The sequence below is a fragment of the Homo sapiens genome, chromosome 18 (assembly GCF_000001405.40).
Source record: "Homo sapiens chromosome 18, GRCh38.p14 Primary Assembly".
Classification (NCBI taxonomy): domain Eukaryota; kingdom Metazoa; phylum Chordata; class Mammalia; order Primates; family Hominidae; genus Homo; species Homo sapiens.
The window spans coordinates 54,574,266-54,601,300 of NC_000018.10; the positions used below are offsets into that span (position 1 = coordinate 54,574,266).

The window sequence follows — 27,035 nt, forward strand, 5'->3', positions numbered from 1 at the left end:
TACCCTTTCTTCCAGTTGATCGAATCGGCTACTGAAGCTTGTGCATGCATCACGTAGTTCTTGTGCCATGGTTTTCAGCTCCATCACGTCCTTTAAGGACTTCTCTGCATTGGTTATTCTAGTTAGCCTTTCATCTAATCTTTTTTCAAGGTTTTTAACTTCTTTGCCATGGGTTCGTACTTCCTCCTTTAGCTCGGAGAAGTTTAATTGTCTGAAGCCTTCTTCTCTCAACTCGTCAGAGTCATTCTCCGTCCAGCTTTGTTCTGTTGCTGGTGAGGAGCTGCGTTCCTTTGGAGGAGGAGAGGCACTCTGATTTTTAGAATTTTCAGTTTTTCTGCTCTGTTTTTTCCCCATCTTTGTGGTTTTATCTACCTTTGGTCTTTGATGATGGTGACGTACAGATGGGGTTTTGGTGTGGATGTCCTTCCTGTTTGTTAGTTTTCTTTCTAACAGTCAGGACCCTCAGCTGCAGGTCTGTTGGAGTTTGCTGGAGGTCCACTCCAGACCCTGTTTGCCTGGGTATCAGTAGCAGAGGCTGCAGAACAGTGAATATTGCTGAACAGCAAATATTGCTGTCTGATCGTTCCTTTGGAGGTTGCGTCTCAGAGGGGTACTGGGCCGTGTGAGGTGTCAGTCTGCCCCTACTGGGGGGTGCCTCCCAGTTAGGCTACTTGGGGGTCAGGGACCCACTTGAGGAGGCAGTCTGTCCGTTCTCAGATCTCAAACTCCGTGCTGGGAGAACCATTACTCTCTTCAAAGCTCAGTTGGAAATGCAGAAATCACCCGTCTTCTGCGTCACTCACGCTGGGAGCTATAGACTGGAGCTGTTCCTATTTGGCCATCTTGGAACCGGAAAAAGTTATTTCTAAGTTTAAGAAAAATTAGCTTTATTAAAACATTTTTCTTGAAATAGTTCAAGGAGTCCATTTCATCTATTATAAACATTTCCACTTGAGATTTTCTCCAGTTTTTATGCACATAAGTATCATCTGTTTCTGGCCCAAAACCTCACCCTCAGAGCCAACCTCAAATTCCTTAAATCTGAGATGAAAGCAGAAATCTTCACTAAGAGCAGTTGCCAGCTGGGATGTTTTCCAATACTGAGACTTTAATCTTTGCTTTTCTTTGTTTTCCGAAAGACCTGTAATTGATATCTACCGTGATGTTTACATTTCTACATGATCTCTCATGTGCTAGGTAACTTGGGAGGGGCACTAGACTAACTGACGGGAGACACGCTCAACCTGAATCCACAGGACACAGATTGTGCTACTTTTCTTTCCTAGACTTTGGGTTCCTTATCTCAAATTCACTGCTAATGGTTCATTTTAGTTCTTTCTTTTTTCTTTTTTTGTAGAGACGGGGGTCTCACGATGTTGCCCAGGCTGATCTCGAACTCCTGGCCTCAAGCAATCCTCCCACCTCAGACTTCCAAAGCACTGGGATTATAGTCATGAGCCATCGCAGGTACCTGGCCTCTTTCTTTATTTTTCATTTTTTACTGAGGGCTAACATTCATAAAGTTCATTAACATAACATGCACACACACACACGCACACATGCACACACACGTGCCCGTCACCCACATCAAGATATAGAATATTTCCAGTACCTCAACAATTTCCTCATGTCTCTTCCCCATCAACTTCTCCCAGCCCACTCTGAAATAAACAAATATTCTAATCTCTCTCATCATCTGATTACTTTTGTTCATTCTTGAACTTCATATATTGAAATCATACGTGTCTGATATCTCTCAGTAAACATAGTGAATTAACATGCAACATGTTGCTGCTTGTAATAATAGCTGATTTTTAATTATATATGTGTGTCCCTGTTGTTTAATACTGTGCCATACTTCCTTGTATCAGTATACCAAAATTTATTTATCATTTATGGGTATTTGGATTATAAATGTTACAAATAAAGGTGTCTAAATATTTCTATGCATGTCTGTTTTGGACATATACACTCAGTCTCTTGGGGATATATCTAGGAGTGGAATTGCTAGGTCATAGGGTAGATGTATACAGAGCCTTCATAGAAACTGCCAAACAGCTTACCAAAGCAATTGTATCATTTTCCACTCTCACCAGTAATAATGAGGGTTCAGTGGATCCATATCTCACCAAGACTTGGTAATGTCAATCTTTTAATTTTCATCTGTCAGTGGGTGATTTTGACCTAAGTTTTATGGGTATCTAGGCAATGAGTGCTAATGACATAAGCATTTTCCAAAAAGAACAAAACTAACCCAGCACAGTGGCTCGCACCTGTAATCTCAACACTTCGGAAGGCTGAGGTGGGAGGATTGCTTGAGCCCAGGAGTTCGAGACCAGCCTGAGCAACATAGTGAGACCTCATCTCTACAAAAACAATAAAAAAAAATGAGCTGAGAGTGGTGGTGCACACCTGCGGTGTCAGCTATTCGGGAGGCTGAGGCAGGAGAATTGCTTGAGCCCAGGAAGTCGAGGCTGCGGTGAGACATGATTGCACCACTGCACTCTGGCCTTGGTGACAGAGTGAGATCTTATCCCAACAACAACAACAACAACAACAACAACAACAACAACACCAAAAAAACCTACAAAAACAAAAAGGACAAAACTACTTTGCCTTGATTCCTCTATTTGCATAGTGTTACTTTTGATTACTTAGCCCATCAGATCAATTTATTTGAAAACTTTAAAATATTCTAATATCATTCTTGGCAAAAAACTGTTTGTGCTAGCTTTATGTAGAGTATCTTTGGATGTATATGTTTGTAGTAGCTAACTTATTTCTTAACTCCTACAAATGCCTTAATTTTAAAAAGAAATTTCTAAAAAGAGAAATAAAGAAGGTTTCTCTAAGGCAAAATGGAAGAGCTTGAAAGAAATGCTTGCCTAAATCTCCTTTAACTATCACTTTTAAGTTGCCAAAAGTGCATTAAAAATCTCCAAGATTAGGTTTATATATTACTGTGCAGGAGAGAAGAAACTTGGTAAATGAATCAACAGTTATTAATTTATTAAGCTCCCTCTAGAAAACAGAGTTGGATGCCAGGCGTGGTGGCTCACACCTATAATCTCAACAGTTTGAGAAACCCAGGTGAGAGGACCACTTGAGCCCAGGAGTTTGAGACTAGCCTGGGCAACATAGTGAGACACTGTCTCTAAAAAAAAAATTAGCAGGGCATGGTGGCACACGCCTGTGGTCCCAGCTACTTGGGAAGCTGAGATGGGAGGGTTGCTTATGTCCGGGAGGTCAAGGCTACAGTGAACCGTGATTGCACCACCACACTCCAGCCTGGACAGTGTAAGACCTTATCTAAAAAAAAAATGTAAAATCTTGTTTCAAAAAAAAAAAAAAAAAAACACAAACAAACCAGTATCTTATTGTCTCAAAAGAAAAGAAAAGAAAACAGAGTTGAAGTCTAAGAAAGTGTTACCCAAGGGATCACGCCTGTAACCCCAGCACTTTGGGAGGCCGAGGCGGGCAGATCACAAAGTCAGAAGTTCGAGACCAGCTGGCCAATATGGTGAAACCCGGTCTCTACTAAAAATACAAAAATTAGCCGGGCACGGTGGCAGGTGCCTGTAGTCCCAGCTACTCGGGAGGCTGAGGCAGAAGAATCGCTTGAACCCGGCAGGTTGCAGTGATCAGGCGAGATCAGGCCACTGCACTCCAGCCTGGGTGACAGAGCCAGACTCAGCCTCAAAAAAAAAAAAAAAGTGTTACCCAAGGGAATTTCATCTTGCTAAATACTGGGACTGTGGGACTGAAAAGTTCAGAGTATTCGGGACAGACTGAGTCAAGGCAAGCTGCTCAGGAGCCCTGGATGCCTCCCTCAGAGGAGGTATCAGTCCTGGAGAGGGAGAATGGTCATCCTAGGCTTGAAAGAAGGCAACTGGAAACTTCATCTACTTCAGAATCCTCTCATGGACTGGCCCTGAACTTTAGAGGAATGATGTCTATGGGATGATAGCAAGAGCAAGAAAGGAAATATTACATATTACCACAGTTTCCTTCTGCTAGACAGGATGCTCAGAAAGAAGCAACAATAGCTCTTAGGGGCAGGATTGGTTTTCGTGTTACTTATTGCAATTAATGAATATTTTACTTCTGACTGTTAAGGTGGGTCTTCTGTTAGTTCTGATATTTAATGTTTCATTTAATCAACACATGCATGGATGCATCATAGTGAATTTGCCATCAGCCAACTAAAATATTACTCAAGGTTTCAAATATAAAGAGCAATCACTGATCAAAAGGCAAATTAGTTTTGAAGTTAAACTTGTGATACTGGCAGCTCAAAAATGGAGAGGAAACATGGGGAATACATGGTAAATATTGACCCCTCTAGAAACCAGCCCATGGGTAACTGTTGTTCCATTTGGATATTGTGTTTATGTGAATCTTTCGCCTGGTTTTAAGAGAAAACTCTATGGCTTTTAATATAATAGAAGTAATGCTTACACAGTCTTCACAAAAAAGAATGCATAATTTTAATGGTTCAGGAAAAGGCAATTTTTTTATTTTATTTTTTATTTTTATTATTATTATTTTTTTGAGACAAGAGTCTTGCTTTGTCATCCAGGCTGGAGTGCAGTGGCACAATCTTGGCTCACTGCAACCTCCGCCTCCTGGGTTCATGCCATTCTCCTGCCTCAGCCTCCTGAGCAGCTGGGACTACAGGTGCCCACCACCATGCCCGGCTAATTTTTTGTATTTTTAGTAGAGACAGGGTTTCACCATGCTAGCCAGGTTGGTCTCAATCTCCTGACCTCATGGTCCGCCCGCCTCGGCCTCCCAAAGTGCTGGGATTACAGGTGTGAGCCACCGCGCCCGGCCAGAAAAGGCAGTTTATTAACTTCTCAACTATTCTCTAAAAATCAGAAATGTTGTATTACTCTACAGTACTAAAGGAATAGTTTAAAATGTATTCTATGTATTTATTAAACTAAAATGTTAGTATTTTCTGGAATATAATTTAATGAGTTAAAATAATAATATGCAGTTAAAACCACGCAATGCTGGCTTCAGCTACTTTAGAAAGTATTTTTTAAGTTTGGTGTCTGGGTTTTGGTATAGAATTCTTGGATCTTTGCAATTAATTCTAGAACTTTCAAAACTCAAATAATTCTGTTATCTTTGAAAACCAGAAATTAATCTTATATATGCTCTGCAAGTCCAATACATAAGTCAAGAAAATCTGGTTTATATATAGACAGCATCACGTTTTCCATACCCAGGAGCCAAACTCTTGCCTTGATAAAAGAAACAAATGTGGATATGTAGTTTGAAATGGACAGTTTAAAGAACAATTTGAAAGTGAGTGGAGAAGCATTTTTCTTCATCCAAGAGATATACCAAAGCAGAAAGTCATGTTGCTCAATAAGTATATTTGTTGAATGGTTGAACATCAAGAAAAATATTTCTGTCTCAAAAGTAGGAGATTTCCCCCTTATTTGTTTTAGTTTATGTGATCCTCAAAGATGGTCTCCAGATCTTTCTGAATCCTCACTTCTCTGATGGAATTTTCATTATTTGAAAGCACTCCAGTTAAATAAAAGATTAGTTGCCTTTGCTAAGGCATTAATTGATCATGTTGACCTTTTCTTGGGTTAGTAGTAAATTTAGATATATTTCAAATCCTATAAAAACAGTACTATACAGCACTCTAAAAATTTTACTTCCATCTGGATATTTTGATGTAATGAGGTCAATTTTGACCAATGAAATAAAGTAACACTTGAAAGTTAGATTCAAAAAGGCAAGTTACGTATTTCTTTCTTCTTGGAGAAATAGTACATCTTACCTCATAACTTTTCAGTAAATATACCAAATGCATTTCAGCTGCACTGAATGATATTATTGACTATTTTTGACCAGCTGATTAAACATTATCCTCAGCTCTCTACCTATTCAAATTTTAAAATTGACAGTCAGAACAGAGCCAGAGCAAAATGGCAGTAAAAATTATGACTTGGGCTGCAACATTTGTGACAAATAACAAAATACTCCTTCAGCAGCACTGTTTTTTCACCACTGAAAGACACCACCTGTCATGGTCTACAATGAATACTTCAAGTGAACCTTCTGCTTACCAGCACTTTAGCTAAAATGTAGCTATCACGATGTCTACTGAATCTGCCACTATTATCGTGTCAAATTAAGCTGCAACTACCACTTCAACTGAGCCTTCAATTTTTACAGCTACCACTATTTCAGTTGAATGTACACCAACAACAGAAACCAGCACATCAGCTGAGACAGCACAACCTCTATCCTCCCTTCCAGTGAATCTACTAATGAAAGTGCTAACATCACCATTCTCACAGAAATTACAATGTGGTGGCCTCCTATAAGGCAACCAAACCATTAAGTACTTTGATTAAGTTATCTTTGACTATTTCCATAGCTACTCGTAAGATAAATTTGAATCTACAATGCTATCACAGGTGATTTGTTTAGCTAACAGAAATACTTCAGCAGAGCCTGAAGCAATGGCCAACAATAACAATTTAGCCCATTTCCAAGCACCAGCGCCATGACATCAAATCCACCTCATTTGTCTTTTATACTTAACAGATCTCCATTTTATTAGAATTGTTATTTTATTTTGTAATAGTTTAATAATTTTTCTAAAATTTCAGATCATGTAATTTTCCTAGAAAAAAAAATCTAGGGACCACCCTCCAAGTAATTTGATAAAACCTCACAAGGAAATCTTTATTAACATGGTTGGTATTCATTACCAATGTTGTTTTTGTTTTTATAAAATTAAATGGTTCAGCAGTGGAAATGCAGTTTCTTACTGTTCAGAATATTTCATTTAGTATGACAATTCTCTATGTATTGAATCACTATACCATGTATGTTTTAAGTACCACATTTTGTTTCCTTATGTGTAAAATTATCTTGTTTATATAAGTTTTCTTCAGATTATTTTGCTGTTTAGCACCACAGTTGTTAGAATTAATTATTTGCTATTCTTTATGTAACCTTATAGTCACTTAGTTAAATGTCAGACATTTACTATATGTCTATCTCCCAAAATACTGAAGGAGATGCAGAAGAAATAACGATGCAAGATAATCACTAAAATAATTAACATGAACACGCTTTGTTTACATTTTCTGGATATCAAGGTTTTAATTGATTTTGATATTGCTTGGGTCTTCCCCAGGCCTACTGTACTATAACCAGCAGGAGTGCGGCAGGAATGTATGTTTATAAACACCTTCACAGCTGATTCTAATGCATAGGCAGGTTTAACAGTCATGGTCCAATCAGTAAACCAACGAAAGCATTCTGACATGCTATATCTTACTGGTGGGTTTGGTGAAGTTGATACAAACTATACAATCTTATTTTAAATCATGAAAAGAAAAAATCAATTTTTTAAGATAAGAGAAACATGAAACAATTAATACTAATCTTAATCCAATCTATGAAGAAAGAATTATATATAAATACTGTCAGGTATATAATCACATGGGAAAAAATGTTTCACTTAGATAAAGGAAAAACTTATTTTCAAGCAAAAATTGAAAAAATATATTTCAGTATCTATTAAGCTAATAAGAATTAATTTTTAACAGTTCTTCCACTTAGCTCCACAAGAATATTTTTTAAAAAGTTCTGCCAGCAATTTTAATAAAAGATTAAAGTTGTACTGAAATCTTTTAACTTATATTTTATTAGTATAAATTGCTGTTTCTTTCTTACTAATACAAATGCAATTGAAATGATCCGGCCGGGCGCGATGGCTCACGCCTGTAATCCCAGCACTTTGGTAAGCCGAGGCGGGAGGATCACGAGGTCAAGAGATCCAGACCATCCTGGCTAACACAGTGAAACCCCGTCTCTACTAAAAATACAAAAAATTAGCCAAGCGTGGTGGCAGGTGCCTGTAGTCCCAGCTATTCAGGAGGCTGAGGCAGGAGAATGGTGTGAACCCGGGAGGTGGAGGTTGTAGTGAGCGGAGATCGCATCACTGCATTCCAGCCTGGGCAACAGAGTGAGACTCCATCTCAAAAAAAAAAGAAATGATCCAAGTCTTTTCCATCTGTAGTGTTATTGTATACAGACATTTGTGACTGTATTTTTCTATTTAAAAAGAAATATGTTTTCTAATTTGTAATTTCTGTTATAAGTCAGAAATAAAAATATTCTGGAAACAAATTCAATTTTAGATTTTATAACAATAGTAACTTTCCCCCAGACTTACACTTAGTCAGTGGTCAATATGTATTTGTTTAATAAATGGTTGAGTGAATATTTCAGACCCTGGCACATCCAATCAATAAAATAATTAGCCAATCAGTCTATTAATCATCTACTCTTTATTCAAAAAAAGGCTTTGAGCCTCTACCGTATACTAACCCGTCTACTTGGCACATGTTCTGTTCTTCAAAAATGCTGTTGTCCCTCTCCTTCCTCTCTTAGAATTCCATCTGTACTCCAGGACTCGGATCAATCCTGCCTCCTCCAAGCACTGCTTGTCTCTCTTTTGAGCTATTTCTTCTTTGACCTCATATATCTTTTATTTTCCACCACATTCATTTTACTCTTAAGCTACCCTAGCTTTCATTATTCATGTTTTCCAGAGTCTTATCTTCCTACTGACATAATCATTGTTTTGGCAGTGACCTATATATTTTTTAACGTTTTTACAAAAATTTCCAATTCACAAACAAGTACTTATTATCCAGCTTCAACAACCATCAACGCTTTTTAATACACGTTTCATTGATCATCCTATACCAAGTCAGATAACAGATATACAGTCTTCATCTTTGAGGGTCAATTTTTTGGAATCACTCTTTTTTTTCTGGGCACACCTTAGGAAAACAGAAACCGGTTTAGGTAATGTAAGCAGAAAGGAATATAGTTATCAGATGCTGAATATAGCATCAGGAGTAAAATAAGGAAGACTATCTGTAGGTTTTCTCTGACCTGCTGGGTGGTCAGAGGGCTGCAGAAAACTCCTGCCAAGCCACATTTTCCTGCAGCTCCCAAACCAGAGACTGAAGGGTAGAGTGCAGCCTGTCACCATAAAAGCTACGTATTTATTATCTGTTGAAGCTTGTGTATGTCAGGAGCCCCCACTGCTGGGGTAAGAAGGGCTGGCATTTCCCTTTGAGTTTATAAATCTCATGGGAATACATCTCATTGGCAGAGCCTAGGTGTTCTGGGAACGTAGTTCCAGAATTTTAGCCCTTGGTGTAACAGGAGTACAGAGAAGGAACTAAGAATGAATGTTAACTGCCAATCCAAATGTCTACCTCATCTTCTAGAGGAAGAAAATCACTTACATCTTCATAGTTTACTGAGCAAAAGCCCATACATTACAATTATTGACAGAGTTATGATAACATGCTTAAACTCAATAATAACAAATAAAATAACAATAAAATTATACACTCTTTACCTACTTAATTAGTACTATATTTAAATATTATCTTACTCAGCACTGCTAATCATGTGTTTGAACATGTGCTGTCAATATTTTTAGCAAATCACAAATTTTTCAGCAGTTTGGAAATCAGTTTGTATTAAGGGTGATAAAATACCTTTTGACTGTGTAATCCCACCTTCTGAGAACCGATCACCTGAAAATAGCTTGGAATACAGATAATAATACCTTCCAGTATTTACATACAAGGCAGAAAAAAGAGTAAACAAAAATTACCATGACAAACATCTGTTGTGCAACTCAAAAACAAAAGAAAGACTAACAACTCCAAATTACGTATAAGTAGGGTGAAAGAAAAAGTGAAAAAAAACAGAATATTTTACACCATACACATGAGCAAGGTTAAAAATTTGACAATACTAAGTATTTATGAAAAATGGGAATATTTTTATGGGAGTGAATATTCATACAACTTTGGAAACAATATTGGAAATATATGGTAAAGTTAACAAAATACACACCTGATGATACAGAAATTTCACTTTTAATTATACATTTAGAAATATTTATTAAATATTTAAAACAAATATTTATTTAATATTTAATATTTATATTAATTAATAATTAATATAAATATTTAATAAATATGCCTAAGAATGCATATTCAAGACATATTTTAGAGTATTCATAGCCTCATTGTTCATTATGCTAATAAAAGGGAACCCAACTCAACTTCCATTATTAGGACAATAGGTTAATAATTGAATGAAATACTATAAAACGTGAAAATGAATAAAATAGAGTTACAAGTGTCCATGTAATTGAGTTGTATAAATATAATCTGGGCAACTCCACACCTGCATTGTGAAAAAATACAGTATAATAGGATTCATAGAAATTTTAAACCATGTAAACTATACTATATATTTTTGGAATATATTAAAACATTAAAACATCCATGGGAAATATAAACACCAATTAAGGAGAGTTGTGATACCTGGTAGGAAGAGAGAGAAGGGCAGGAGGGAACTGTGCTCAGGCCCAGGGACAGAGTAGCTCTCATTGCATGTAAAACAATGTTATCACTTAAACTGGGCAATAGGAATGTGGCTATTTAGCCATGGGAATGTGGCTATTTATACCTTTTTGTGTAGTTGCAATATTTCTTAATGCATTTTTTAAAAATGGTGTGGCTGGGGCATGGTATGTGATGTGTAAAATAGTGCAGGATGGGGATTCAGAGGCAGGCAGAAAGTTCAGAGACATGTGGGCCGTGAGAAGACTTTGACTTGGGGCAATGGATGCTATTTAGGGGTTTTGAGCAGGATGGTGATATAAACAGGCTAACATTTTGGAAACAGTATTCTGGCTACCTTGAGAGGAATGAATCAAAGAGGGGCAAACATGAAACTGGGAGGACCATCATATGTGGTCCTCCTCAGGTGTGAGGGTGCAATCCTTATTTCTATTTCAACATCCAATGCCCAACAAGGGACATAAAGGGCAGTTAACAGTGTGACTAGATTGTATTAAAATCTAAATTAATTTAGGGATATTTATAATATTTTCTTTTTTTTTTAACTAACACTGAGGCCATAAAACTAGTTATTCTACATCTAATTTTCATGTATTTTCTTGCTCCAAAGACTATTGTATTGTTCATTTTTCAATTCATATTTTAAAATTCACATCCTGACATTTCTTTCCTCTTTGCCTATGTAATCTAGTTAATACCGATTTTCATTCTAGCTTTTACTCTACCTCCAGACCACTCTTCCTACTTTCCCCCAGTGCCTTGCCTCTTTCTACCACTTCATGGTGGTCTTTGCTTCTCTCTTCTACAATTTCTCCTTCCTTCTCTCTGTCCATCCATGTGCACTGAGGACCTTTAAGATTTGGATGTGAACTTGCCTCTTCCAAACTGTCACCAGCTTCATCCCTCAAAGATCACTTCCTTTGCTTTCCTAATATTTTGAACACTGTCCCAGTGGTTAATTCTCACTTCCTCTCACTATCCTGCCTACCTGCTGCTCCTCACCAGCTCCTCTGAGCTGAATTCATCACAGCCTTCTTCAGTCCTGCCTTAGTTCCCATCATTGTTCCATATCCAAACCTGACTCAGGTACGAGTTCTATGAGCTGCTCCAGCTTCGTGAGCTCTCGTCTTTTACCACCCCATTCTCCATCCACAGTGAGGTGGATGAAAGGAGCCAAGTCCTAACTTTGAACTCTGAGACTGCTTGGTTTGCACTGCCCACTGTACACCGAGCCTGGCTACTGCAGCCCTGAACAGGGCTATGATGTTCCACTGCTGAGCCCTTGCACCCCACTCCGTTCCTAGGTTGAGTTGACCCCAATCTCGGGTCCAGATCTGATAACCTAGTTATGGTTCTGGACCTTATGAATCCCAGTTTCTCTATTTGCCCCATCTTTTAAACCTGACATTTTCTGAGAGTTTCATTCTGAGCTCTGATTCTAATAAGCAGTCTATCTGCCACAATTTTTTCATGAGGCCTGGATCCCTGCCTTAATCTTTTTGTGTTCATCCCTGAAAACTGTAGTCCCACTGATGGATAAACCTCAGCTCCAAAAGCTGGGGCCTTGATGTTCACAAAAATAAGGCCCACACAGCTGATTGCCGATCCTCATACTCTGTGAACGTCCTAACATTTGTCTCATGCTTGGACAGAACTTGGAGGGTCAGCAAGGATGATGAGACATGTCTCCACCCTGGGAGTTGCTAAATTCTGTGTTATTTAGAAACCTGAATTCCAGCCATCTCTGTTTTCATGGGCTGGTCTAATTCCAGGTGGCAGCACCACCCTGGCCATGCTTCCAGTAAATATCCATACCTCCCTGATGAATCTTGATACATGTCATCAGAATCTCTAAAGGTGCCAAAGTTGTATGATCTTGACAGTGAATTCAAGCTCTGAGTTGTCTTTCCCTTTTCCCCCCATCCTTCTTAGGGCTCAGTGTGGTACACACTAGACACTAATAAATGGCCACAGACAAGAAACGAATGGTTATCTTGAGAGCCACACACTCTAATCTTGAGTTTGTAAAAGGTCACTGAAAGCATACATGTGTCATCAGAAAAGTGGGGATACTACTACTTAATTCTTGTAGGTATTACAAAGATTAGCTTTGAGCAGTGTGGTACACCAATTGGAAGGGACATAAACGTTTCTATAATGTCAGTAATACTATGGTAAAATCAAATCTATGTCAGAGATTGCCTAAGGGTAGCACCTTTTCCTGTGATCCAGCAATTAAAGCTATTCTTTTCTTCTTTTTTCAAATATACTTTATTTTTTAGAGTAGTTTTAGATTCACATCAAAATTGAGTAAAAGGTACAGAGAGGAAAAATATGTTTTGATGGTCCCTGCCACATGCATAGCCTCCCCCATCATCAACATTTCCCATCAGAATGGTATATTTTTTCACAATTGATGAAGCTATATTTTCTTCTCATTCACAGTTTTAAAATGGCAGTCATGAGAGTCAGTTTACTATTTCAAGTCTTTTATGAAATAGTTTTCCAGCACGATGAGAATAAGGAGGGACGTAACTGTCTTTAAAAAATTGTAAAATTTTACACAAATGAGTGTGATAGCGCACAACTGGAGTTCCTGCTACTTGGGATGCGGAGGTGGGAGGGTTGCTTGAGCCCAGGAGTTCATGTCCAGCCTGGGCAACACAGCGAGGTCCTGGCTATAAAAAAAATGTAAAGTTTCTACAAACCCATCATACCTCATGTGAAAAGCTTGAGTTAAATATGTTTCATAATTCAAATTTTTTTAAATTTTATGAAATATGGTACATATATTGCATATTACACAACACGTGTTAGTAGCCTGAAACACACATTAATATTTTTTGTAATTGAACATATAAATAACCATGCTAAGATTATTAAAGACCCAAAATGTTCTTGTTTATATTAATTTTTACTGCCAAATAAATTTATGCCAAACATACAAATTAATTTTCAGTTTGCAAAGCCTTTTGGATTTCTGAAATTGTGTATCAGGGATTGTATATCCATATTCTGAAGAAAAAATAGTTTATTTTGGGTCTCTCCATATAGGAGGATCAGGGTGTAAGTCAGCCAGAGAGACAAGGAAAATTTTGGATCTATAGGAGAAAGAACTTTCAAACAGCAAAAGTCACCCAAAAATGGAATACCAACTTCTAGGTAAGTCATGAATTCCTAGTCGCTGTGCTCAAACACAGGTGAATTATACAGTTGCCTTTTATTCTGTAGAAGTTGTTATATATTTATCATTTATATTTATCATTATGGTCCTTTCTCTAATTCCAACATACAAAAAGCTAAAAGAGAACATTCTCTTTGATTGAACAAAAATAGTAACACTTCAAACAAATTTGAAAGTTAAAATCAAAAGTCAAGCTTTCGATAAAGAAAGAATAGACTGTAAGCAGAGGTCTTGTCTGTCTTGGTTGCTACTAATTTGATATCCAGTTTTCAGACATGCCTGTGATACATTAGGCACTCAATAAACAGTTGGGAATAATTTTTTTTTTTTTTTTTTGAGACGGAGTCTTGCTCTGTCACCCAAGCTGGAGTGTGATAGCAGATCTCGGCTCACTGCAACCTCTGCCTCCTGGGTTCAAGCAATTCTTCTGCCCCAGCCTCCTGAGTAGCTGAGATTACAGGCATCCGTCATCATGCCCGGCTAATTTTTGTATTTTTTTAGAGACAGGGTTTCATTATGTTGGCCAGGCTGATCTTGAACTCCTGACCTCAGGTGATTTGCCCACCTCAGCCTCCCAAAGTGCTGGGATTACAGGTGTGAGCCACCGCGCCCGGCCTCCAGTTGGGAATAAATTAATGGAAGACTGTGCTTTGTCAGTATAACCATATTTAAAATTTATAAGTAAACTTTACATTTGGAATTGGAAAATTCAGTGATGTAAATCAAAACATGTTTTCCTCCTGAAGTTTCTATTTTGAATAGGACTAATTTTTCTAATCCAATTTTATTGCTTAAATACTGTTTCATTACTTTTGATTCAGTAAAGGAATACTTGGTATAAGTATTGGCTCAGCTTTGTAAAAAATACAATAAAGAACATGCTAATTGTGTTGTGAAAAAAATATATGAATTTACAGAATGTTTCAGTTTTTATTCTTACTTTTAATGATTGGTTCAAATTTCTTTGGTAATTTTGACAGGGCAGTTTGGAAATGTATTGTTCAGTTTCTATTTTTTTCACAAGGATCTTTCATGCTTTTTGGGTTGCATGTCAGCATTTTACTTAGGCTTTGAAATTCTGTGTCTGAAAAAAGATGAAATATAATAATCCCTTTCCCTAAAATGTCTAAGATCACATGGCCGAAGCTGTCATGTTGGCTCTCAGTTTATCAGTAGACCAAAGAAATAATAATCAGAGCATATCAAAATTTCAGGTAAGAAAATTTTTGAGTAAGATGATTTTAAAAAATCAACTTTGACCTAGGCTTTGAGACAACAGCCAATTCACTTCTTTATTGGATGACTGAAAAACAGCCTCCTCCCCTTGCCGCCTTAGAGTGGAAAAAATGGCCAGCTATCAGAGTTCTCTCAAACACATGTCAGCCAACAAGACTTTCAGATTTCTTTTTGGTTATAAATCCTGCTCAGAACAAAGATCCTTTATTGGCGACTCTGAGAAGGTAATGAGAGGTATCCATGCTGTCTGTCATGCTAACAATCCAGGTGTGCTCTGCTTTTTCTGTTAAGGTTTAGATTGAGGCATTCAAAGAATTGTTCATAATACATGGTGAAGAAATATTCTTTGCAAAATAAAAATCTGACTTTCACATGGTATATTTAGCTATAGAACAATGTGTTGTCTCATTTTTATGTTACTATTCCTTTTGATTTTAAATTTTAAAATTTTCTCCCAAATTTTGTGGCTGAGTCATGTAACTGCTTGGCCGGTTAGAGATGGTGAGGGTGAGACTCCAGTGACAAGAATAATCTTCCACTCTTTATGCCATTGATGTAATGTGTGGATGCCATCAATAGTAATGGAGTTTCACTTCCACTGTGGCTATGTGGCTCTACTGCCAAATGAAATGTTTTTGCAGAATAAAATTGTAGTAATATTTTAAAAATATACAATTAATATATATTATTGGTTTAATTATATTCTTCTGATTTTCAAATGAATCAAAAAATCAATCAAAAAGTCTTTCAAAAGTCATTTTTAATATTATTGACACCTTCAACCCATGTTGGTCCCTTGTACCCCATGGCTGTTTGCTTTGCTTCAAGAAGAGTAAATCTTTATGTTTTTCTTTGTGTTTCACTTTTTAAATTGTGGTAAAATACATATAACACAAAGTTCATTATCTTAATCATTTTAAGTATACAGTTAAGAGTATTAAATACATTCACAATATTCTGCAACCATCACTGCCACCCATTTCCAGATCTCTTTTTATCATCCCAAACTGAAATTGTGTATTCATTAAACAATAACTCCCCATTTCCGCCTCCTCCCAGCCCCTGGCAACCAACATTCTACTTTCTGTCTCTATGATTTTGACTATTCTAGGTATGTTATATAAGTGAAATTTACAGTATTTGTCTTTTTTGTGATGACTTATTTCAATTAGCACAATGTCCTCAAGGTTCATCTGTGTTGTAGCAAATCATCGTATTTTAAACTCCTCTTTAGAACAATTTTTTTTCCCAGTTTTTCAATTCCTTGACAGCTTTCCATGTTCTTTATATTCTACAGCTTGAGGGTAAAACTTACAAGCTGAAGGTATTGAATACATTTATAAGAGAAATTTCAAAGATTAAACTTTAAAAATATTCAGAATCCAAAAGTGTCATATACAAAGAGAATAGGAATTTTTTTTTATTATGGAACTTTCTGCACTACAAACATACCTGGCACACTTTTGAAACAGTATTCTCACTTGTTGAGTGAATAAACCAATACAAGAATTGATCATTTTACAATTTAAGACAAACTAGATTTTTTGACCAAAATAAAAAAACCCTCTTCTTAAAGATTTTCAATATTCCATCACTCCTTTGACATTATTGCCTAGGAAATTGATTCTAATAGTTTTTAATGAGTGTGAATTGCTTGAGCAACTGACCAAAGAGACTTCCAGACACCAACCCAGGGACTGAAAAGGTGAAGTGTCCCTAAGGTCATGGGTACCTAAGAGGTGGTGCCAACAAGGGGAGAGAGGCTTTTGTGCTTGAGTAGAAAGCAAGCAATGATACATTTCTATCTCAGAACGTTTTTCTGGGGTCGGTCCTAAAATAAAAGGTGAGTTCCTGAATGATGGGACTAAAGAGGAGAGACGGAACAATAATGTAAGGTTTTCAGAGGGAGTAGTCACAAAAGCTTTCAGAGGAAGTACTGGTTTTCTTGCGTCTTTCTGCAGTTAACATTTCATTTCCTCCTCTAAGGTGGATCCTGTTTTAGTGAATAATTAGTATTTAGTTTAATCCACACTTGTACTGATGCATCATAGTTGACTTCCACCAGTGTTTTAATTGTTTCATGGTTGCAGATATAAAGGGCAATGAACAAATTGAAAAATATTCTTGGAGAGAAGCTTGTGATACTGGCAGCTCAAGAATGGACAGAAAGCATGGAAAATACATATTGAACGTTGAGCACTCTGAAAACCAGCCGGTGAGTGTCCTTGCTCCATTTTGATAGTTTGCCTATATTACAGTTTCATTTTCAGCATTTAAAAGCAGTTTAATCTCTTTATTACTATCTAGCCAACATCATAATTTTGCATTCTTCTCCAAAATAAAGAGCAACCCTGTATCAATTTTTGTGCTGTAACTTTCATGTTTTATTTTGCTATGTTATATATTTAGGTATTAATTTAAATATATATAGCTATAAAGTATTAGAAATGTTTCTATGGCCATAGGATATACAAATAGATCCATTTAACTTTCTATATTCACCTTCATGTAAACATAAACTCCAATGATGTCAGTGTTTATTTATTAAGTTCTGTTTTTACAATTGGATGCTTAGAATTTTTAGACCTGTCAGAACTCAGATTTCTTAATATGCTGAAAAACCAGATATTAATTCTAGATATTAATATTCCTAAGAAAGAAAACTTCCAAAAATACCTGCTCTGTGTCAAAATATGACTATTTTGTCTGCTTTTTAAAAAATATTTTTATACCAAAAACCAAGCCTTCAGTGTATAGTTATCATAATCATATATCTGTATCATATACAGATTTTATGTATCTATTTATATCCAACCAAATAATCTTTGACTTCAGAAAAGGAAGGACATGTAATGAGAATTAAAATAGTGAGTTAAAATTCACTGCCAGCAGAATGAATGAAACATGTGTGAAGAAATAGCTTGCTTTTGTCATATGGAGCTGTGGTAATCAGCCTGTGTAACTCATGAGATAAACCAAAGAAGAAAGTCCTGTTTCTCAGTAAGTGTTAATACAAGAATCCTATAGAGGATTTCTGGTTCACCAAAAGAACCAAGATCTTCACTCCCTGGGCTGGTGTCTGGAAGTCTGCTTGGTCAGTTGCTCAGGCAGCACTGTAATTGGATCTTCAAGATGTTCAGATACTCAGATGGAAAAAAAAATTATCCTTGGTCAGGTATGTATCATCTTGATAGTTTTTCTAGATAATAACAAATGTAAAGATGTTTACAAATATTAGCTTATATTGTTTTTTTTTACAGCATATATCTGGATAGCTGACTAAATATTTTACTTTATTATATTATTCAGGCATAGATATAACTATATTTTTCTCTTCAAACCAAATTCAATAATGGAATTTAAAAAGTATTTGAAGATTATAAACACACAGAAAATAAATTTTGGTGTCCTTGTTTTTCTGTTAGGGATCTAAGAAATCTCAAGTTAATCCTTATAAAGTTTGGGTAAAAAACTTACCGAATGTACTTTAGTTAAGTACAACCAATGCATTTCAGTTGCCTGTGGCCATTATTAGCTAATGCTGATTATGCTAATGCTGGTTAACATTATTTACAGCTCTTCAACTCTTCCAGTTTTGAATAGAGACTCCACCTGTAGTAAGAGTCAGAGCAACCTGACACAGTAAAATTATTACTTAGGCTGCAAACTGGGCCTAGATCACAGGTTCCCCATCCTTAGTGTAGACCCACCCATCACCTTCCTCTCTGAAAGGGCTGGGATTCTAACAGGGCCAGAAAATTCTGGGAAACTGCCCCACTGAGTGAGTTTCACTTTGTTTGCAAAGGCATTAAAATGTTCAGGTTCATCAGCCACAAGCAAATTGGATGTAATGAAAACAACAGGATCAGCACCTAGTTAAATAAGCAAGGGTATTAACAAAGATAAATTCAACTTATTCAAATTTGCATAATGAATAGTAGGTAGAATTTTGTTTATTCATATTTGATAAACATGGGACTGATATCTATTTCTTTTATATTATATTTACAGAAAAAATTAACTTAGCTAATTGTCCACTGCCAGGAGTATCCCATCTTAACTATATTTAATGACAATTTTATATTTTTGTATTTTTAATAATAATTCCTAATGGGTCAATGATTATGTATCATTCTGGTTTGACAGTTTTCATGGAACTCACTGGTTGGTTGGCCAGTAATTTCTATAACTATTAGTAATGGGTTATTAAATCAACACAAAGACAACTAGTGGCAGTAGCGGTAGTAATTAAAATACTATTACTAATAACAAGAATGATAGTTAACACATATTCAGTGGGTATTATGTGCCAGACATTGCTACAAGCATTTGGCAGTTATTTACTCAGTGATCATATGAGCAAATCTGTAAGTGGGTAATTTTAGTATTCTCCTTTTGAAGCTGATAGGAGTGGCCAAAGATAACCTTGATTCACAGCTAGAAAGTAAACGTTATCATCCTGTGAGATGAAGAGCCTTAGATCATTCTACATTATGTTTGATATGTAACAAAACTTTTGGCTGGGTACAGAAGCTCATACTTACAATGCCAGCACCTTGGGAGGGCAGAGCCAGAGGAGTGCTTGAGCCCAGGAGATCTAGACCATCCTGAGCAACATATGGAGACCCCATCGCTATGAAAAATAACATCAAAAATAATTAGATGAGCATGAAGGCATATGCCTATAGTCATTGGCTACTCAGAAGGCTGAGATGAGAGGACTGCTTGAGCCTTGGGAGGTCGAGGTTTCAGTGAACCATGACTGTGTCTCTTCACTACAGCCTGGGTTACAGAGAGAGATCCCATCTCAACAAAACAAAACAGAACAAAACAAAAAACTTTTCCACAAGATCCATAAATTCCTGAATCTACTCCTTTCTCATGTTCACTTTATCTTATCCTTCCCCTCTTTTAACACACCCCTTCCCTAAAGTCTTTCCCTGCCAACTCAGTTGTTTTCAATCCTTATTTACCTCTTTTTCTGAATAATTTACAATTATTGCATTTATTTGTTAATTAGACACTAACCTGTTTTGCCTCCCTGTTAGCAAATAGACTCCTTGAGAGTGGAGACCTGTATTGTTGTGGACTGTTTTTACATTGCTCTATGCCCAAGAGGAACCCAGCAAAAACATACTGCAAATTCGACAAATGATTTGTCTTCTGTGTCACTGCCATAGGCTTGCAAGTTCCATTGGATAGAGCATGGTATGAATTATGTAAAGCAGTCACTTTGTGTAAGAATTTTTCACTAGTATCATGTAGTATAGTATATACTACATTACTGTATTAGCATAGTATGGCATAGCATAAGAATATACTATTCCTAGTATAGTGTAGTGGAGTACATGGGCCTTAACACTGGAAGGTCTGAGCTCCTGTGCTAGCTGTTGTGTCATGATGACAAATCATTTCAACTCTTTTCACTTCAATATTTTCATTTCCAAAATGACCTGAACAGGTTGTACCCAATAAGATGCAAGGACTTCAGCTCACCATCCTCTTCCTTATAGAGGCTTCTTAATATATGCTCCACATACAGCAGCTTGCAACATAAGGATATTCGATCCATTTATGTAATATCATGAGGAAGAGGATACACATTCCTGAACTAGAACTTTAGTAGCCTACCAAAATTAGTTAAAGTATAATATATAATAATCTGTCTAGATTTTTTTATCTTCAGGGGATAAGAAAACATTTATTCCTTTTAAAAGTCATACTCTTAGGTACTTTTGATAGAAGAATTTTATTTTAGCAACTCAACACCATGGTTTCCTAGGCTTCCTACTCACTTCCACTCTGCCTTTGTAGCCAATCACACATCCAAATGACCAAGAGGCTCACAGTTCCATATGCTGGTGTCTACCTTCAAATGATATAACCAGTGATGTCTCTCCCAACTTAACTGGGGTCTGCGTGAACCCAGGAATCCTTGCACATTCAAGATGTCTACAGTCAGAATCCTGTAACACACAGGTAATGTGTAGCACGGGAGCTTTTATTCAAGTTGGGATGTGCTCTATATGGGCATGTACTTTGCCTATTCTTTCCCAAGAAATGTACTTAATTACTTAATTCATTTATATTTGTATTAAGCATTTGCTGTATTCTCAGTATAGGTACAAGTCACTGTGAGGCAATTCACAAGAAAATAAATATTTGCTAGTCTCTGTTTTCCAAGAGCTAACATTCTAATCGGGGACTCAAACATCTATAATAGATAGAGAACATACATGAAAATCAAAGGAATAAGTGTAAGGTGCAAATGCAAGGTTAGGGAGGGGCAGATGAATAAGAATGTTGGCAATATTAGGGTTTAATTCACCATTAGACTCTGATGGGAGACTGTCATATTTAAAGTTTCATGGGTCCTATTCTTTTGGCGATCACCTTATTTTCTTACTCTGTGCAGCCTCCGAACCTGTGTGTGGCACTTTCTTTAGCTCCCTGGGTTCTGGCCTCTGGTGTATACGACCTTAACACAGAAACCTTACTGTTCTCTGGAGCATCTCCACTAGCTTTGGAGACCAGACTCAGCTCTCCTTGGTTCCTGACCTCATGTCCTGTAGGCTGAATGAACTTTACCTCACGACTGTATCTTTAAGTCTTCAGCCCTTGTATAGAAATTTAACATTGACTATAAATTACCAATATGGCTTGGCAGTTTGGTTTGATTCCCCAGACTCTGGAATTCCTTCCTTTCGCTGCTTAGTCTTGCTATAGAGACTCAGTAGAGAGCCTCTGAGGCTTGTTTCTTGATTCTGGACAAAACAATATGAACTTTATACTGTTTCTGGGACAATGTGAAAGAGTAAGCTCAGTAGGATGGAGTTAGAAAATGTTTCTTCTTGTTTGCAGAGGTAAAGTAATCCATATCAATCATGGAATTGAAGGAGGTCTTCAATAACATTGAGTCTGCTAGCTCTTTTTTTTATTTTTATTTTTTATTTTTTTGTTTTTTTGAGGCAGGTTCTCATTCTTGTCACCTAGGCTGGAGTGCAGTGGCACAATCATGTCTCACTGCAGCTTCAACCTTCTGGGCTTAAACAATCCTCCCATCTCAGCCTGCTAAGTAGCTAGGACCACATGCATATGCCACCATGCCTGGCTAATTTTTTAATTTTTTGTAGAGTTGAGGTCTTGCCATGTAGCCCAGGTTGGTCTCAACCTCCTGGGCTCAAGGGATCCACCCGCTTCAGCCTCCCCAAATGCTAGGATTACAAGCATGAACCTCCATGTCCAGCCTCTGCTGGTTCTTAAACTTGACTGCATATTAGAATCACCTGGGGACTGTTTAAGACCAAATCAAGTGCCTGAGCCCCACCCCAGACTAATTAAATCAGAAACTCTGGGGGGTGGGGCCCATACAACAATGGTTTTTAAAAGCTACCCAGATGAATCTAATGTACAACTAGTGATGAGAATGACTGATCTAGTCCCATTAAATCATTTAACAATTAGGGAAAATATGGCTCAGGAAAGTTTAGAGAGTTGCTAGAACTCATACGGTTTTTGCCAGAAGGGGCCAAAGCAGGAGGAGAACTTAGTTTCCTTTTGTCTGATCATGTGCATTTTATTCCACTAAAGGGCTCTTTTTAAGTTTGTGTGATGCAGTATTATAGACTCCTCTCCCAGATGTACACAAGCCTTTTTGCCACTTTCTTTTCTTGAACCTCCTTTTCAGTGCTTCCCATCAAGGAAAGAGGACGTTATTTGTCCTAGGGCTAACTTGATCTTAGTGGCCCTCATTTCCCTGGCCTTGGTGACCATTGCCCTCATTCCCTGCTGTCTTTGTGTCATCAGGCTTTTCATGAAACTCTAGTCTTCCAACAAATACCATGGCACATATTTTGTAATGTTTCAGACCTACTGTATTCTGTCTGAAAGGTATGAGTTTTGTATTCTATTCCTGGAAGATCTTGCTTTCATCCAGGTAATAGTGAAATAATCTGTTGGACTCCAAAGCCCTTGTTTCTAAATTCTAAATTCTATATTATACTGCATCCAAAACAAAAATAATACTTTTGAAAACTAGTGACTTTATCAATGTTATTTTTAATCTTCTCAACAACAATATGAGATGTTGTTCTCACATTAAAAAAAAGGTAGGGGTGAGAGAGGAAAGAATAAGAGGAATACAGAGGATTTTTTAGGGTAGTGAGACTGCTCTGCATGATACTGTAATGGTAAATACATGTCATCATATAGTTGTCCAAACCCATAGAGTGTACACCAACAAGAGTGAACCCTAAAGTAATCTGATAATGGTATATCATTGTAGGTTCATTAATTGTAACAAATGTTCTACTCTGATGGGAGAAGTTGACAACTGGTGAGGCTGAACATGTGTGAGGGCAGGAGGGATGTGGGAAATCTCTGTATTTCCTGCTTAGTTTTGCTGTCAACCTAAAACTGCTCTGAAAATAAAGTCTGTTAAAAAGAAAAAAGACAAATGGAAAATAGAATAAGAGAAGATGAGATTTTGCAAATTTGTCTTTCTTCTAATGTAAGGGACAGCAGACAATTATTTCCACCTGCATGAAAACATGGACTTCAAGCCCATCTTTCAGAGACACATAGTGACTCAAATGATGTTAACCCAATAAGTTATAAGTAATATAAAAGAGATGATAAATTACAAGCATTTTTGTTTTTCATTGCTGATATTTTTATATACATGCTTAGGTAAAAGAATATTGCCGCAATGACTGGTCTATGTGGAAAGTCTTCCTGGCTTGTCTCTTAGCCTGTGTGATAATGACAGCAATTGGAGTACTTATAATATGCTTGGTGAATAACAAAGGATCGGCCAATTCCTCCATTGTTATCCAGCTATCCACAAATGATGGAGAGTGTGTGACTGTCAAACCTGGAACACCCTCTCCTGCTTGTCCACCTACAATGACCACCACTTCAACTGTACCTGCAAGTACAGCCACTGAATCTACAACTTCAACAGCTACAGCTGCCACCACTTCCACAGAACCTATAACTGTTGCACCTACCGATCATTTATAATTTGAACAGCCATAGCCATCACTTCAACTGAAACTTCAACCTCTACCACTTCAACTCAGTTTGCAACTATAATAGCTACTCCTATCACTTCAAGTGGAATCATGGCTGCAGTCACTTTAACAGACTCTATAACCGTTACAACTTCAACAAAATCAAGTCCTACTTCAACTTAAACTTACTTGACAACTCAAATAATCACCACTTCGACCATCTCTTTGACTGAATCAACAACTACATTCCCTTCAACTGAATCTGCAACCACTTCCACTTAACCTATAACTACTGTAACTTCTACTTAGCCTACAGTAACAATGCTCATCACTCTTTTCCAACAATGTATAATCTCCACCTATTCATCTGAGGACTAAGCTCTGATTTTTCATCTTGCCCAAATTCCTTTCTAAGGGGTATGGGGAGTCATGCCCTACAAACCATAAATTCTCATCAGATGGGTTTTATTTAACCCTGTATATTGTGACTTACTTTCTAATCTGACTCTGGCATAACAAGGGAAAAAAATCAAAATGTTTTACCCCAAAATATATTTCCTTGCCATACCTTGAAATTGTCCTGCAAAGTCTCTTGTGGAGAAACTCCACATTCTGTAGAGAATATCCTTTCCCCTTTGTTTTCCTTCCTTTCTTTCCAGATCCAGGAGATAATCAACTAAGAGCCAGGCACCCTTTTAGGTCTAATAAGAAACACTTTACAACCTGCTCTCTCTCTGAAGTCTGCTTTCTGAGAGATTCCTCTGCACAATAAAACTTGATCTCCACAATCCTTTATCTTAACCTGAACATTCCTTTCCATGGATCTCAGGTCTTCAGATAAACTAAACCAATTGTCAACCAGAACATGTTTAAATTTACCTATAGCCTGGAAGCCCCAACTTTGAGTTGTCCTGCCTTTCTGAACCAAGCCAATGTATTTCTTAAATGTATTTGATTGATGTCTCATGTCTCCCTAAAAATATATAAAACCAAACTGTACCTTAGCCACTTTGGACACATGTTCTCAGGACCTCCTGAGGGCTATGTCATGAGCCATGGTCACTCATATTTGGCTCAGAATTAATCTCTTAAAATATTTTACAGAGTTTGACTCTTTTTGTCAACACATCCGAACCTGCAACTACAAATGCCACCATTACCACTTAAAACTTGATAGAACTAGCATCAGTCATCAAAATAACCTGTTCTATATTAAGTTAACTTTTAGTTATCACCAGTAATACTAGCCTACAACTACTCGCCACACTGGCTCTTCCCCAAAATTGAAATTGTACAATATGTGAGTCTAATTCTTGCTAACATAACATTATTGCCTACATTAAAAGCTTCTGCAAAGCAAAGGGAATGAAATGAAAAGGCAGCCTGCAGAATAGGAGAAAATATTCGAAAATTATATATCTAATAAGTGGTTAATATCTAAAATATATCAGGCATTCACATAACTCAATAGCAAAAAAACAAATAACCTGATTTAAAAATGGGCTAAAGATTGGAATATACATTTTCCCAAAGAGGACATACAAATGGCCAACAGGTATGTGAAAATGTGGTTAACAGCACTAACCATCAGGGAATTTAGAGTTAAAACCACTATGAGATATCACCTCACAGCTGTTAGTTTGACTATTATCAAAAAGTAAAGAGATAACAAATGTTATTGAGGATGTGGAGAATAAGGGACCCTTGTACACTGTTGGTGAGAATGTGAATTAATAAAGCCATTATGGACAATAGTATGGAGGTTCCTCAAAAAATTAAAAACAGAACTACCATATGATCCAACAATCCCACTGCTGGGCATGAAATCAGTGTCTTGAAGAGATATCTGCACTTCCATGTTCACTTCAGTATTATTCACAGTAGTCAAGATATGGGACCAATCTAAGCTTCCATCAGTGAATGAATGGATAAAGAACATGTGATTGAGATATATATATATATATATATATATATATATATATATATATATATATAAAATATTTGTCTATATTCAGACTTTTAAAGGCTGAATAATATTCCAATGTGTGTGTGTGTGTGTATACACACCATAAATTACAGCAATCAAGAGTGTTATATTGGTAAATGGAAAGAAGCATAGATCAATGGACCAGAATAGAGAATCTAGAAAGAGATCTACAAACATATGGTCAATTCAACTTTGACAAATGTCCAAAGGCAATTCAGTGGGAAAAGAATAGTCTTTTCAATAGTTGGTGCTGAACAATTGAGCAATCTTATATACATACATACATATGTACATGTGTATATAAAGTATATGTACACACATGTACATATGTGTATATATATATACACACAATTTATATATATATGCACACAATTTATCATATATATGATACATATATACTATATATGTATGCACGATGGAATACTATTCAGCTTTTATAAAGACGAAAGCCTGACATTTGCAACAACATGAATTAACTTGGAGTCTATTATGCTAAATAACATAGACCAGACACAGAAAGACAAATATTGCTTGATATTACTTACATGTGGAATCTAAACTAGTCAAACTTAGAGAAACAGAGAGTAGAAAGGTGGTTGCCAGTGGATGGCGGATAGAGAAAATAGGCAGATACGGGTCAAAGGGTACAAACTATCAGTTATAAGATGAATAAGTTCCAGAGATCTAATGGACAGTATGGTATCTATAGTTAATAATAATGTATTGCATACTTGAAAATTGCTAAGGTAATAGATCTCAAGTGTTCCCAACACAAACACAAGAAAAATGATAATTATGTCAGGTGAAAAAATATGTTAATTAGCTCAATTGCGGGAATCATTACAAAGGTATACTTATATGAAAACACCATATTGTATTCCTGGGAATTGCTGTGTTTATGAAAAAAAATAAAACATGTTTTCCACCATAAGTATATAAAATATACAAATTTTTCATCAATCATATCTTAATCTTTAAAAAATAAATATCAAAAAAGAAATATATTAATATATCAGTAAATATAATAAAAATAGATTATATTCTCCACCAATAAAAATAAAAAATAAGAGAATCCATAGAATCTTCAAAATAGCTTCTACAATTAACAAGTTGAGTAAAGGTGTAGGATGTAAAGTCAACAGACAAAAATCAATTGTATTTCTGTGTACTATTAGAGT

General features: G+C 36.6%; 1 protein-coding gene and 1 pseudogene across 4 annotated transcripts; both read left to right on the forward strand.

Moving 5' to 3' along the window:
- Positions 1-1,355: 1,355 nt before the first annotated feature.
- DYNAP (dynactin associated protein) lies at positions 1,356-25,228 on the forward strand. Of its 4 annotated transcripts, XM_011525923.4 has the most exons (5): positions 1,356-1,467; positions 13,494-13,601; positions 16,950-17,074; positions 20,674-20,838; positions 23,548-25,228. In XM_011525923.4, the coding sequence occupies exons 2-5, from the start codon at positions 13,583-13,585 to the stop codon at positions 23,878-23,880; spliced, it is 642 nt and encodes a 213-aa protein (XP_011524225.1). In that variant the 5' UTR covers positions 1,356-1,467; positions 13,494-13,582; the 3' UTR covers positions 23,881-25,228. The 4 variants fall into 4 exon arrangements, with proteins under 4 accessions (XP_011524225.1, XP_016881198.1, NP_001294884.1 ...); XM_017025709.2 differs by lacking the exon at positions 20,674-20,838 and having other exon boundaries at positions 1,430-1,467; NM_001307955.1 differs by lacking the exons at positions 1,356-1,467; positions 20,674-20,838.
- DYNAPP3 (DYNAP pseuodgene 3) lies at positions 4,265-4,354 on the forward strand (annotated as a pseudogene).
- Positions 25,229-27,035: the final 1,807 nt, after the last annotated feature.